Genomic DNA, 15,400 nt, shown 5'->3' with positions numbered 1-15,400 from the left:
AGCTCCTGAGCTCAACTGACCCGCCCACTTAGGTTTCCCAAAGTGCTGAGATTACAGGTGTGAACCACTGCCCCTGGCCAGAATGTCCTACTTCTTAGTACTGTTACAATGGCAGTTAAATTTCAGTGAGTTTTGGAGGGGACCTACATTCAAATAATCGCTGCAGCTAACGAATACCTTTGCCATTGGTTACGACAAGTTATTTAGAAGAATGGAAAAGTCTCAGACTTTAGACGTACTGGAGAATGTCTGTTTGAGGGAGGAAGAATCCTTTTTGTCGTTAATATGCTCATTTCCACTGAGCTGATTTTAACCTGGGTTAGTTTCCCTCCCACACCACTACACACAGGGCTTGTTAAATATTGCTAGAGTGCACTAGGGGAATTATAAAACCATAGCCCTGTATTGCTTTGCTAAGTTTCTAGGGTCATTTATTTGGGGCTTGCAGGGTTATCACTTAATGGTGACTTTTAAAAAAATGCAAAATAATCTTCTTCTTGCATTAAGTGGGAAACCAAATTATAATAGAAGCAGACTGTTGTGTGGCTTAATTGAGACTGTTTGCAGCTAGAAGGGGGATCTTGACATGAAAAGCATTTGTTTCAGACTCTTCCATATAGATCTACAAATGGCACACAAGTGAGCACAACTCAGCAAAGCCTGAAAGACTTTTAAGGAGATTTCTACCCTTGAATAATGAACTATGTTGTTTTTAATTTAGTATTAGTCTAGAGACTGCATGTTGTTTTATTTCTTTTAAACTGGAACTCCCAGTTGGTCAGTGAGCCAGACTGCATGTATCTGCAGTACCTTCTCTTTTGAAAAGCTTATCACCTGGGAAGCCAAACTCTGATCAGGAGGAGCAGAGGGCCTGGGAGTCTGAGGTCATCAGACATTTGAGGTATTCAAACCAGTCCAGGTGCTGATGTCTATCTGCTGCTGGGACCAGCTGGCCTTGGGCCTCTTGGGCCTTTTTTTTCTAGGAGAAAAATTAAGATAGCAAGCATGTTAAAAGATGAACCTGCTCTCCCTAAGTGAAATCAAAAATCTCCCTTAAAAACTTGGGTTTTTCAGATTTTTTTCAGATGCATTCGTATTTGAGGGCAGGGAATAAACATTTTCCCTCCCTTTTTTCCCTCTTCATCCTTTATATAAATTTTACTGGGTAAAAGTAATACATGTATATCGTGAAAAATTTGAATATTACAAAAATCATGTAGTCCAGAATAAAGCTCTCTTCTCCATTTCCTTCCCCAAGAGGCAACTACTTTTAGCAGTTTACTGTCTGTCTTTCAAAGATACTCTATTCATCCTTTTTAAAAAACACAAGTATTTTACATATCATTGTGTACCTTGTTTTTTCCACTTGATGTTAGAGATGGGAACAGATATTTAATACATACTCAGGTAAGCTCTTTCTGTGTACATTTGCCATTAAAATATATGCAGTTCCTACTAGGGAATTCCATATTACTCAGATAATATCAAGGTATAGAAAAGATTTTCGTTTTAGTGATTTTTCAGAAATTTTTAAGCCGTTCCTCTTTCCCCTGCAGTTTAAAAAAATGCACAGAATTCCTAATGCCAGCTATATGTTCTGTAATTCTACACCAACCAAATCTATACTGCACAAGACATATGAGAGCCTCAGGACTCTCTTGGGATATGTAAGTTAGGGGTAGGACAGTTGGTGTCCCAGTCTCTCCATTGAGTCTGTTTCTGTGCTGAGTGTCCCTACAGATGTGGTAAGCCTCTGAATGTCAGGTCTGTGCTGGTCTTTCTTTAGGTCCCATCTCCTCCTAGACTTCCAAAGTCTCTCAAGATCCTGAATCAGGAGGACTTTTCCTATCTAGATCTCCAGTCAGTGAGCATGATGGTCAGGGCATGTCCACAGTGTGGTATCCTCATAGGCCATTCGTGGACCCCACCTGGTGATCCCTTTTATTCATCAGCTCTGTATATGTTACAGGATTAGCTAGTGGTCAGTTGCTTTATGAAAACTGTGGGCCAGGTTTGGTGGCTCATACCTGCAATCCCACCACTTTGGGAGACCAAGGCAGGCGGATTACCTGAGGTCAGGAGTTCAAGACCAGCCTGGCCAATATGGTGAAACCCATCTCTACAAAAAATACAAAAAAATTAGTCGGGCGTGGTGGTGGGTGCCTGTAATCCCAGCTACTTGGGAGGCTGAGGCAGGAGAATCACTTGAAGCTGGCAGGTGGAGGTTGCAGTGAGCTGATACCGTGCCACTACACTCCAGCCTGGGCAACAAGACGAAAACTCCGTCTCAAAAAAAAAAATTGTGTTGGTGGGGTGTGGTGAGATACTTGCATTGTATTTTCAATTAGCAGCAACATTCTATGGTAGAAACATTCTGTACAAATAATGTTTTGAAAAGTTTTTTTATTAATTTAAGAATGTTACCAAAAAATCAACACACTAAGTAGAAATGAAAAAACATATTTATCTATCTATACTTAAACTATACTATACTAAGCCAACCGAATTATTCTCAGTGCTTTTCATGAGTTATTTCTAAATTGGCAGGACTATTCTTTTAGTTGTAAAATTCTTTCAAACAAAAATTTAAATATTCTAATGTGGGTAGAACATGAGCATTAAAAATAGGTTATGAAGTTTTTTTATAGTGCTATTTAAATTTGTACAATACCTTAAATACCTGTAATAAAAAATATCAGGGAAAATTCTGGATGCTACTGTCAGGTTACTGGAAAGGGAGTGATACTGGCTTGGGATTCCTGGTTACCTCTGTGATCACTCATTTTTTAGTTTCACAAAGTCTTGATACCACCAGAGGGAGCTGTTGATATCGAAGTCTTCGAATGAAGAAGTTGGTGGTGAGAGTTAAGACTAGGGAGCAGCTTATGCTGATCTGTGAAGCATAATCATTATCTTGTCTGTAATTTGTAATCTTATAGACTCTTCCCCACAGCAAACATTTTCCTTCCATGTTTCATTTCAGATATTCTTCCCAACACATTGACCCTTTTCTCTGCCTAGTCTCACATCCTGCTTTCATCATACTCACATTCGTTACTATGTTTATATTTTCTTGTGACTATAAAGTTTCTGAAACTCTTTTTGTGTTACAGTAAGCAAGTAGTCTCCTTTGGCATGGTATTTATGAACTGAGCTAGTTTTCATTTATCAATAGAAACTGCATTTTAAACCTAGATGCTTTTATTTGGTTTGCTTTTGCAATGAAGCCATAAAGATTTCCTCCTATTCTTCTGGCTTATAGAGGTATTAACAAATAACAAAGAAGAGGTACTGGCTTGTACTTAGCATCTGAGCTAATGTTGTTCATATTGTCTTATTAGAACACCTGGAGAGTGCAAGTTCTAACTCAGGTATACCAGCTGCACAGAGAGGTGAGTTTGTCTAATTAAGCAAATAGTCACCAAAGGTGTAAAATTCTAGTTTGGTGGTGCATAAAATTATAGACATTGAAGAAAATGCACTGGACAATATGGAATAGACACCAAAATCTGGCTTTTTTTTTTTTGTAGGTAGAATATGTTCTTTTAAAAGCATCAATTAAACTAATATTTAAATTTTTTAGTATGTTAATGGTTTCCCAGTTTCTAAGCATAAAATTTTAGCTCCTTAAAATTTTTTTTCCAGCTTAGCAGTAGTAAAAGTTATTGTTTTTAAAAGGGGGAACTTGTGAGGCTCACACCTGCCCTGACCCCATATTATCAGAGGCTTTGTTGCCCAAAATCAGACATGGAAACAAAACATTAACAAAAATGGCCCTTTGGTTTTCCTCTTACTGATTGTAGAAAGAAGATACTTTAATAACAGATAAGTCAACTACTAACTTTTAAAAATATATTCTTCAACATTTGATTCTCTTTTTTTAAAATTTTAGGGTAAAACTAGGGAAATGAATTATTCACAAAGCTTTGATTATAAAATAAAATAGAAACAACTGAAATATTGTAAATTAAGAAGAATAGGAAATAAAGTTAGTTAAAGCACAGTATGTGGTCCTTTCATTGATATTTATGTTAGACCCCACTCAGGCTCTCCCTAGGAGACCACACAACTATGACATCACCAGAAATGCTCAGCCTGCTAACTGAGAACTTGGTTTTGGACAAATCAGTGTCTAAAGCTTGACTCTTTACTATCTCTCTTATCTGACTTGAAAAGGACCATTCTTTTTCTGAGTTACAGTTAAATTACATCATCGAAAGGAGTGTTAAGACGAGTAAGAGACATCATCCATATTTTTTTCTTTGTTTTTTTCTTTTGTTTTCTGTCTGTGTTTTCAGCAACGTCAGTTGATTACAGTTCCTTTGCAGACAGATGCAGCAGCTGGATAGAGCTCATTAAACTGAAAGCTCAGACCATAAGGCGTGGATCAATTAAGACAAGTAGGCGGATGTTTCTACCACATTATGATAATCTGAGAAACATATCCCTGATTTCCCAGTGGTGAAAGCTAGACCTTACTACCCAGTAATAACATTGCCAATCCATCATGTATTAGAGTGTGAAAGCTGCAGACTGTAACGGTCATTTAGGAAAAGCTTTTGAAAGGCCTTTAGATTTATTAGTTTTACCTATAGAATTGTGTTTTTAAAATTTTCCTTTTTGTGCAGGTATTCTTAAAAGTATATAAATAGATATTATATCATTCTAATTGGAAGTAAATTGCCAACTCTCTTATTGAAAAGACATTCTTCCAGGACCCAAGGTACTATTTAGTATGTGGCATCTGTCGGTTTATTAAGTGTGATATGCAGAGGGCTAAACTAATAAAGAATTTATGGTGAGAAAGTAGTTATTACCTTACTGCTAGAATCAGAATCATTACTTATATGTTATCTTATGCCATGTGTTTTGGTAAATTTTGAGGTAAATATATTTGAGTGAAAGAGCTTACCGTACATTAAAAGGGGGAAAAAACTACATTTCACAGGAAATAATATAGGATGTGAAACCAGCCAGATCTGGTTCTGAATCCTAGAAGTGCCATTTTAATAGCTATGAGACCTTGGGCAAGTTACTTAACTTCTCTAACCTTCCATTTCCTCATGCATGAAATGGGGATGATGATGATAACCTGTGTTTTTGGGTGGTTGTAAGGATTAGATATATATATATATGTCTGGCTTATGGCAGTTATTTAATAAGTGGTAGCTATTATTTTTTTACTTTATAAACAACCAACTTTTAGCTAGCAGAGGTCGTTAAGCTTTTAAAATTATGAGTTGGTTTTCAAAAAGGTTTGGAAAAAACCAGTATCTTACAACTAGATAACATAAGGTTTATCTACAAGTTGACAATGATGAAGTCGTCTGAAAAAGATGGAAAAATTGCACTGGGAAATAGAACAACTTTCACACTCTCCTTGTAATAATTTGTTCCTACAGCAGATAATTTTAATGCTCAGCCGCTTTTTCTTTTTCTTCACTTTATAACCAATCATTGTGTGTGTAGCTATACTGCATCAACATTTTCTTTTGCAGGAATGCCATTTTTCTTCCAAAAGAATTCCATTCCAGCATTTCCTCTCATGTTTTTCTGTCTCTCTTTTTTAATTGCATGCAGTGCATGATAATTTCTTTTCTTTCATGACATGGCTTAGCCTCACAGACAGCTGAATGTTGTCACCACTTATTTGGAAACCTCAGGGAATAATTGTGTTACCAGCGTCTGTTCTGAATGTTTTCTCATTTTTCTCCAATTTTAGCCATGACAGTTGAAAAAGCAAGTCCAGTGGGTGATGGAAATTTCCGGAATCGTTCTGCTCCACCTTGTGCAAATTCCACAGTTGGGGTTGTTAAGATGACACCTCTTTCTTTTATTCCTGGAGCAAAAATAACTAAGTATCTTGGGATAATTAACATGTTTTTTATTCGAGAGACTACTTCTCTTCGGGAGGTAATTTTATAGAAGTTATTTCATTTTTTAAAAAATTTTCTCTGAAGATTTAGTAACAAAACTAAGTTTCAAATTGTTATTTTTTGCCAAAAACTTACAAATATTTATTTATATTTTAATTATCTGGATTGAGTCTAGAGTTTATTTCATTTAGCAGCGAGGATTATCACAAGAATTGTGTTAGTTTTAAACCTATTTATTGTTAGAAATCTTAGAACCTTATCATATAGTAAATAAAACAAATATCTGTGTTCAAATAGAAGTTTAAAATAGCCCTGAAAGAACAGCTTCGTTTCCTCAGTAATTTAGCAATTTTTGACAGATCACATTTAGAAATAGTAGAGGACTGTATTACAGATACATGTCTAAGGAGATACTTTATGTAATTTAGCTCTGCTGTTTCTTCCTCCTGAGAAAGGAATGAAGCTGCTCATTTTTTACTCTCTCAGTTAGTGTATGAGGATGACATTTCTTCAGTCTTACCTCACACTGAGTATCATTAAACTTTAATTTGGTTTTTAAATAACAAGTTGTAATATTTTACTTGATGTGGGAAAAGTTCAGAATCAGAGTCAGCCTGTTATATCTTTTATAACACAGGAATTTAAACTTAAAAAAATTACGTTGTGTCATATGTTAAGGAACAGGGGCTACCAAGCAAATTAATATGGTGAATAGGGAAATTTTTTAGTTACTGAGGTGTGACATCCAATAACCTTTTCAAATTTTACTTCAGCTGCAGTTTGTATTTTTAAAAAGTATATTCATTATAAAGATGACTTAGCTGTGCCCTTCTTCACCAGCAGTATTTCTATACTTTCTTAGGAATAACAGCCTGCACACTGTCTTTAATATCATACTCACCATCCTGCGCCTAGCACAGTAGCTGGCATGGAATAAACACAATATGTTTTTGTGCAAATAAATGAATAGCTTCTGACAGATTATTTAATTAATTAGATGGATGTTTTCTTTAAGGTAAATTAGGCCAGGCACAGTGGCTCACGCCTATATTCTCACCACTTTGGGAGGCTGAGGCGGGTAGATTGCTTGAGGCCAGCAGTTTGAGACCAGCCTGACCAACATGACGAAACCCCTTCTCTACTATAAATACAAAAATTAGCCGGGCATGGTGGCACATGCCTGTAATCCTAGCTACTCAGGAGGCTGAGGCACGAGAATTGCTTGAACCTGAGAGGTGGAGGTTGCAGTGAGCCGAGATTGCGCCATTGCACTCCAGCCTGGGTGACAGAGTGAGACTCTATCCTTCCCCCCAAAAAAGATAAATTAGTTTTTATATCACTCTTAATTACGTTAAGATGAAAAATAAACTATGAAGATATTCTCAAAAGCCTTTGGATAGAGAATTAAAATAGATGATACTTCTACATCCATTTAAATTTGACAAAGATTTGGTGCGAAAAGCTGGCATATATTATGAATTAACCTTTTCTACTTGCTCTTGGTAGCACATGGATATTACACTATTTTGAATCCATAAAATTGTATTTCCTAAGCCTTCTTGACTACTTAAGCTCCCATACCTCAAAATGTTGCTTCTTAGTAGGTTTTCCTTCAACAGAAACTTATAATAATAATTGTGTAGCACCATATCCCAAATGTGTTAATTGCCTGAGTCGTTTTCTTACAGTTAATTAATATTTTTAAAATTAATCCTCTGTAGCTACTGTGTCATCAGAATTTTTTGATTTAATAAACAGGAAATTGATAAAACTCAAAAAATATACTGAACTATGATTGAGTTGGAGGCAGGCTGAAGCAACTCCCTTAATTCCCTAACTACAAAAAGAGATATCTTTATACAACTATATGTAGGATCCTCAGGCTTTTCAGAAGGATGTGACCCAATAAAATGGTTTTCTAATACTGCAGTCATTTTTCCCCTTCACTTCCAGTTTAAAGTTGGAAATTTCCTCCTAGACTGTAAATAAGTCCAATAGAATTTGTGGAAACCTAGGTTGAAAAGCATTTCAAGCTATTGACTAGCCTTTGATTTCTGTTTTGCTTGTTTTTCAATATGGGAAAAGTACCCTGAACTACTGGATTTTATTTCCTTACAATTATATATGGAATTCTTATTATATGCACCTGTTGAACTAGATGTTAGCATATAGTTGTATGCAAAACAGATACAGTCCCTGACCTAATGGAATTTACAGTCTAGTAGAACTGGAGCACGGTGGACATTAACAAATAATCATATAATTAGTATCTAATTACTAGGGAGAGTAAGTAATATAAAGAAATTGAACAGAGGCTATCAGAGTATATAATGGACTTCAACTTAGAGTTCACAGTCAGAGAAGGTATCTCGGAAGACATTATATGTAAGTTGGGACCAAGGAGTGAATGAGTTGTTCTCTGAAAAAAAAAAAAAAAATGAAAAGTCTGCAGGAGCAACATGTGCCAGTGAGCCTGAGGTAGGAAGAGTGCTTGTGCATTTGAGAAACTGAAAAAAAGGCAAGTTTGATTGGAACATGGTTCAGGTTCAGAATGAGAGATATAGATAACAGGTAAGTTTTATCGTTTAGGCTTATCATCAATTTGTTTAAATGATGATGAGCATGATATGATGGAGATGTTGAAGGTGGAGGCACAATTTGAATTCTTGCCTTGCCATTTACTTACTAGCTAATTTGATCATAGCTAGTCATGGGCAAATTACAAATTCTCCGGGCTTCAGTTTTATCATCTGTAAAGTAAAGGTAGTAAATCCTTGCCTGGACATGTGTTCAGTCAATGTTTGTTCATTCATGCAGTAAATCCCCATTGTGAGGGAAGTTTAAGTTATTTGGTATATTAAGATAATTTAGGATGTTTTAATATATATTCTTTGACATTTTGTGTGCATTCCTATATCCATACACATGTATATATAGTATGATTTTCCTGTGCACTATTATTTAGGAAGGAGGAGTCAGTGGTTTTCTCCATGCTTTTATTGCTGAAGTGTTTGCAATGGTGAGAGCTCATGTTGCTGCATTAGGAGGGAATGCTGTTGTCTCCTACATAATGAAGCAGTGTGTCTTCATGGAGAATCCAAATAAAAACCAGGTAAGATGCAGTTAAAAATTCCTGATTGGCGGGAACCTGAGAATTTCTTCCATGGCTTCCTACCCCTAACCCCCTCCAAAAGAGAATTGCTCTTTAGAGCCCTTTGAGTCTAGATGCGTAAGATATTTTAATGAGTTTATTCATAACCATGGTCATACATAGTCACAAGTCAATACATGCTATTTCGACATCTCAGGTAACTAGGGTATTATTCTTAATCACATCTGGAATTTGTGCTCCTGAGTTACTGTTTCCACCCTCTTGTTGGTAGGTGTTTAGAATACAGTGATAGCTAACTGAGGAGAGCTAAAGATATCCTTTAGTTTGGACTATGATGCTGTCCAGTTTCAGCTGCCTTACTAATGAAGAGTATATCATAGTAAGGCCATAGTAAGGCTTGCTTATTTCTAGTAAGTAGTGTTATTCTCTTAATGGGGATGAAAGCAGTTAGTTTAAATCTTAAAATAAATTTCTAAATTTTGTGTTAAGATAATTCACTTAAAATTGTTAAAATTTTTTAAAAATTAATCAACTATACTAAATAGTATGAAATGCCATAAAGGCAGTTCTTCCCAACCTGCTTCTCTTGGCACACATCAAAAATCCTATTTCTGTGGTCCACTGGTACACTGTGATGAATGCATGAAGCTGTATGTGGCTGCTGGTAATTGGCCCTGCGTTTCTGACCCAAGTGACTCCCCTAAGAGCAGAGGGGATCAATATCTTGGCAGACACAGAGCTTAAGAAGCTCTAATATAGACTAATTACTTATCATTTAAGCAGGAGTAAGAATGAATAGATGTGTATATGTATATATATTTTTTGCCCCTACCTGTACATCTAGATAATTGTAACCAAAGACAAATCATTTAAATTCTTAGTATCATTTTTTCATTAGTAAAATTATCTTATAGTGAAAGTGAGTTGCTGTCATAAATATATAAGCAGTTTGAAAAGACATTATGGAAATGCAAAATTGTTTTAGCTTTATTTAAGAGATAGGGTCCTGCCATGTTACCCAGGCTGGACTTGAACTCCTGAGCTCAAGCGATCTTCCCACCTCAGCTTCCCTAGTGGCTGGGACTACTGGCACATGCCACCACACCTGACTGGTTTTAGTTTTATTTTGAAATCATGAAGTTTAATCAGTTTCTTCAGAAGGGTACTTCATTTACTAAGTTCTTTTCAGGTTTTCTTGATAGTTTATACATTTTTGTAACTCACGGTATACTAAACTTCATTAACATGTTGAAGAAACATAGTGATAAACAAAACTATGAGACAACCTTCTGATAAATTTTGGCAATGGCTAAGGCACGTTAGAGGGGGAAGGGAAGCTATGAAACATCCTAGGAGGGTTTTTGGTAGATAATTGGGGCATATCTAAAAGCTCAGTGAGGCTACTGCAGTTCTGGATTCGCAGCTAGCTTATTGATAAGATTTGGCGTGAAGGAGATTGTGTGGAGTGGTCAAAAGGGGTACATGGGGAGAAGAAAGATTGAGAAAGGAACAGTGAGAAAGGCGGGAGGGAAACCAGGAGGGCTGCGAACTACCTCTACACGGATCGTTTGAAAGTAGAAGTAGAGTGGAAACCAGGCACATCCTGAGCAGGAGTATTTGATATCACTTGATATTATCTGGTCGTAAAGAACGCATCTATTAGATCTTGAAATTATATTCAACTGGATACTTCTTTGTAATAATTTATTTGATATAAGAGGATTTTCCCTACTTTAAGAATCCTTTTTTGCTTAATTACTTTGTATTTGAGATTGAGATTTGTAGTTTTGGGTTTTTCCCAGTGTTAAATTTATACAACTTGTTCACTGACTTAACTAGCACCTTAACAAGTGCCTCAAAATCAGCTTATCCAGAACAGAACTTATCTCTATGCCTCAGTTTTCTCATCTATAACATTGGGATAAAAATTGGGGAAATCATGAGTTAATATATGTAATGTGCTTAGTGCTGGTGGATTGTAAGCACTGTAAAAGTTGTTACTATTATCTTTTAAATGTTTGTCTTCAATGATTTCTTACAAGACAAAGTCATGCTTCTTAATATGTCATACAAGGTCTTCCACATTCTCAAGTCTTCTACCTTTTCAGACTCATCTGTTGCCCCCCTCACCTCTCCTAACATGCCCAAGAGGTAGATTGCATTGTTTGGTTTTCCAAATGAACTGTGCTTTTTTTTTTTCTTTTTTCATTTCTAGTACTTTGTAGTGTTGATATTAACTCCATTTTGTAGGTGAAAAAAACTGAGGGCTAAAAAACTTAAGTTTGGTATGAGGCTATAAGTAGAAAAGCTAGAATATACCCAGATTTTCCACCACCAGTCGTCTTCCTCTGTACCCAAATAATAACTGTCAATGGCTGATTACCACTGATGTGTACACATCATATCAGGTGCCATGATTTATGTCATTAGCTTTTTCCCCCACTTTTATGTGAGATCTTGCATATACACAAAAAGTGTAGAGAATTGCACACAGACATTCTTACACGTGACCCTCAGCTTAAGAAATAAAATATTAAAAATATGGTTGAAGCCTCAGTGGGCCTGTTTTCTCTTTATAATGAATGAACCATCTTAATTTTGTTGTCATTCCTATGCATGCCTTTATATCTTAAAAAAATTAATTGTAGTTTTATTTTGTATCTAAAATGTTTTAATATATTTTTGAATAGGTAGTACATGATTCAAAATTCAAAAAGGTATGAATGGAAAAGTCTCTCCTTGTCTGCTGTTCCAGCCAGTCACTTTTCTTCCCCACATGCAACCAAATTTTTCATTTTTTTTTTTATGGTAACTTCTAGAGATGTAACACTCCAGAGTGTGTAACCAGAGAGATTTTATACATACAAGCAAATATATATAAATATATATTCTTTTATCTCCCAGTTTAATATAAGTGGTAGCTTTACAGTACATATTGCTCCTCAGCTGTCTCTTTCACCTGCTTTTTCTTGGCAACATTTTCATTTCAGGACATAAAGACTACCTTTATTGTTTGTTACAACCACATAACACTCCATGGTATAGGTCGATCGGAATTTCTTTAATTAGTCCCCTGCTGATAAATATTTAGGTTATTTTCAGTAAATGTTGTGCTAATACATACAGTGCTACAAAAACAATGTGATGCATAAGTGATTAGCACAAGTGTGAGCATCTCTGTAGGGAAAATTTCTTAAAACAGAATTGCTAGGTCAAAGTAGTACCTTTGTAATTTTCATAGAGATTTCCAAAGTTCCCCTTCATTGAGATATTTTGCATATTCTTTATATAAATATAGAAGGATATATATAATTATGTAAATGATTTTATATTGTATATATCATTTTGCAAATTGTTCTTAATTTATCATAAGATTTACCCATATTGATTGAGCTTTAGGTCATTTTTCACTTCCATATAGTATTTCAGGCATGAATATTCCACAGTTTATTTTCATTTCCCTTTTGATGGGCATTTAGTTTGTTTCTAGGATTTTGCTAAACATGATGCAGTGAAAAGTTACTTATTAATCTTTGTTGCATACATGTCCAAGATTTCTCTAGGGAACACATATACATGGAATTAATGGGTCAGGGAGTGTGTTCTTTTTCTGCTTTAGGAGACGGTTCTTTTCAGGATGGTTGCACTTCCTGTTGCAGTGTTAAGTGTGTTGCTCTTGTCCCATGTCTTTGTTAACACTTGGTAACATCCAACTTTTACATTTTTTTGCCAGTATATATGAAGTGGTGTCTCGTTGTCATTTTAACTGTATATCTCTAATAGCGGGCTTGAATATGTTTTCATATGTTCACAGGAGCTCCTTGAGTTTTCTTTCCTGTGAATTGCCCTCTTACCCTTTTCTCATTTTTCTGTTGGATTGCCTATCTTTATCCTAATGATTTAGAAGCCTGTGTTTTTTGGCTGTACAGCACTGCCCCTTATGTAACAGAAGAGTATGAATGTGTTGAGTATAACTGAACCTGTCCTGTTTGTTGTTCTTATAGGCACAGTGTCTTATAAATGTAAGTGGTGATGCAGTGGTTTTTGTTCGTGAATCTGACTTAGAAGTGGTGTCATCTCAGCAACCTACTACCAACTGCCAGTCATCATGTACTGAAGGCGAAGTTACAACCTGAGGAAAATTAGGAAAAAAGAGCTCAACTAAATGAAATTCATCAATCTCTGTTATTTTGTCATTAATTATCTTCTTAGACTTAAAATTGAACTTGAGATAAATAAGGAAGAATTGAGTAGATTTGATTTGCCTGGAGTCTTTTGGAGGCATGAGAATTTTCTAATCTTGACATTTTGTTTGCCTGTTCTAGACAGGCCCTGTGGGGTCTTGACCCTTCAGTAAGTTAAGATAAATTTTTAAAAGAACCGTAGCAAAGATGGAACCTTTGTAATTTATGTTGATTTTAATAAAATCATAATTTAAAAAATGAAATGGGAAGATTGTCAGGAAATTAGGATAGCTACTCTAGTATAATTTAGAAAAACTAAGCAAGAGATTCTCCAGTTGCTAGTGAGTAAGCACTCTGATTTGAGAAATGTGTGGGGACAATGGAGAAAAGTTTTCAGAAAACTGCTATGTAGATTTCTGAATGTGTTGTATTTTGCTGAGGAATTCGGTAACAACTGAAAGGGAAAAGTGCTTCAGCCATCTTTTGAAAACAAGTTAAAATTCTGGAACTTGTATCTGTAATACATCCTAACTCTTGTAAAAGAAAATAATTTATCATAGCTGGTGTCCTTTCATTGAAAGTTGTAATACTGTCTCTAAGGAGGGAGGAAAAGATTATTATATAATTTTATAACTGGCAACATTTGAGTTAGTATTGACTTTGTCTAAAAGAGGCTTGACTTCAACTGGGATAAAAATGTCAGTGAATTTTGTTAAAGTAGTAAAAATGCAGTTGACTTAGTAGGAACATAAAATTATTTCCTAATAAGATAATATTGCACTCCTACCAAATAAACAGGATTTTAGTAATATCTGAGGGATTGTTGATGGTGAGTTAGACTGTATTTGGCATAGAATTTGGAAATGTAACTTGAATGTAAATATGCTGCAAAATGTTGAATGTATACATAGAAAGACTTTTTCTGTCGACGCCAAATGCCCGTTGTAAATGAACCTTAAATATTACATTCCTCCTTTGCACAATAATATTTCTTTATAACACTTATGATTTTTTCCCCCAGGACAACAAACTGCCCTTAAGAGTCATTTCCTTGTTATCACAGGTGTCAATATTTTTCTGTATTTTGTTTATAATTTTATTTTTTAAATAAAAAGTGTATAAAAATAAACTGGAATATTCCTAAATCTCTTTTTTACCTCCATCATATACTACTGTCAGTTTTCTGAATCACTTTCTATCTGATCATCTCCATTCATTTCTTCAGTCAACAAACATCTATTGAGCACCTATTAAATGTAAGGCCTTGGCCTTAATTTTGGAAGGGGTGTGTGTTTGTAATTTTGGCTCTTTCATTGTTTCAGGGTAGGTAGGTATTCATTCAACAACTGTTTATTGAATGCCTGCTAGATGGCAGGGCACAGTTTTAGGCAGTGAACGAAACACACAAAAGTTCTCCCTCATAGAGCTTACAGTCAGTGTCTGCATAGGTAAATAATTTGTAAGATGTGGTAATGTAGTATTTTAATAATTGCTAATATTTATTGAATGCTTACTATGGGCAGCCAGTCTAATAAAGATGTTTTTGTATTAAGTCTTTTAATCCTTATGGAAACCTTATTGTTAAGCACCAGTTTATAGTTGAGGAAGCTGAATTGAGAGTTTATGTGATTTGCCCCAAAGACACAGTAAATAGTGGAGTCAAGATTCAAGCACAGGCAATTTGGCTCTAAAACCTACACTAGTAAGTGAGAAAATGTGAGTGTAGCTTGGAATAGAGGTACTTCCCAAAGGAGACAATGTTTTAGCTCAGTCAGGAAAAGTAGTTCACTGGAATTGGGTATTCCCAGTTTATTCATCCATGCATCCATTCGTCCAGCCGTTTGTCCATCCAGCAGCTGTTACGTGATTGCATAGTGTGCTCCAGAGTCTTTCTAGGCAAAGGAATAATAACAGCCATTGCTAATTGGCTGTTTTGTGCCATGTCCTGTGTACATAACGATATTGCTAATAATTCATAAAACAAGCCAGGTGGGATTATCTCTATTTTAGTATGAACAATTGTATACTCATGGTGAGACCCAGACTGATTTCTGTCAAAGCTGGAGTTTCCTTAACCACCCAAACTTGCTGCCTATTTACTCACATGGGACTGTTTGCTCCTGTGGGCTACCTTTGAAGCACAATCATCTGGACCAAGATTGGTTCCTTCCAGAAAGGCTAATGTTAACCTACACCCCAAGAGCTGCTGCTCTTTCACTATGCGTACA

The 15,400-nt window shown here is 35.6% G+C and overlaps 1 protein-coding gene across 35 annotated transcripts in view; it reads left to right on the top strand.

The window, feature by feature from the left end:
* C2CD5 (C2 calcium dependent domain containing 5) overlaps window positions 1–14,301 on the top strand; it is a 95,960-nt gene extending 81,659 nt beyond the window's left edge. For 12 of the 35 annotated variants that reach the window (NM_001286176.2, XM_017020270.2, NM_001385322.1 and 9 more), the window contains 5 exons: window positions 3,342–3,392; window positions 4,299–4,400; window positions 5,723–5,913; window positions 8,842–8,988; window positions 12,993–14,301. In NM_001286176.2, coding sequence (NP_001273105.1) covers window positions 3,342–3,392; window positions 4,299–4,400; window positions 5,723–5,913; window positions 8,842–8,988; window positions 12,993–13,124 — 623 coding nt within the window. In that variant the 3' untranslated portion in view covers window positions 13,125–14,301. The remainder of the gene's footprint in view (window positions 1–3,341; window positions 3,393–4,298; window positions 4,401–5,722; window positions 5,914–8,841; window positions 8,989–12,992) is intronic. The other 23 variants (NR_169598.1, NM_001385330.1, NM_014802.3 and 20 more) reach the window with 4 other exon arrangements.
* The last annotated feature ends 1,099 nt before the right edge of the window (window positions 14,302–15,400 follow it).

This window comes from Homo sapiens, chromosome 12, assembly GCF_000001405.40.
Source record: "Homo sapiens chromosome 12, GRCh38.p14 Primary Assembly".
Classification (NCBI taxonomy): Eukaryota; Metazoa; Chordata; class Mammalia; order Primates; family Hominidae; genus Homo; species Homo sapiens.
Note: the sequence above shows the minus strand (reverse complement) of the source record. Positions and strands in the feature narration are given on the sequence as shown.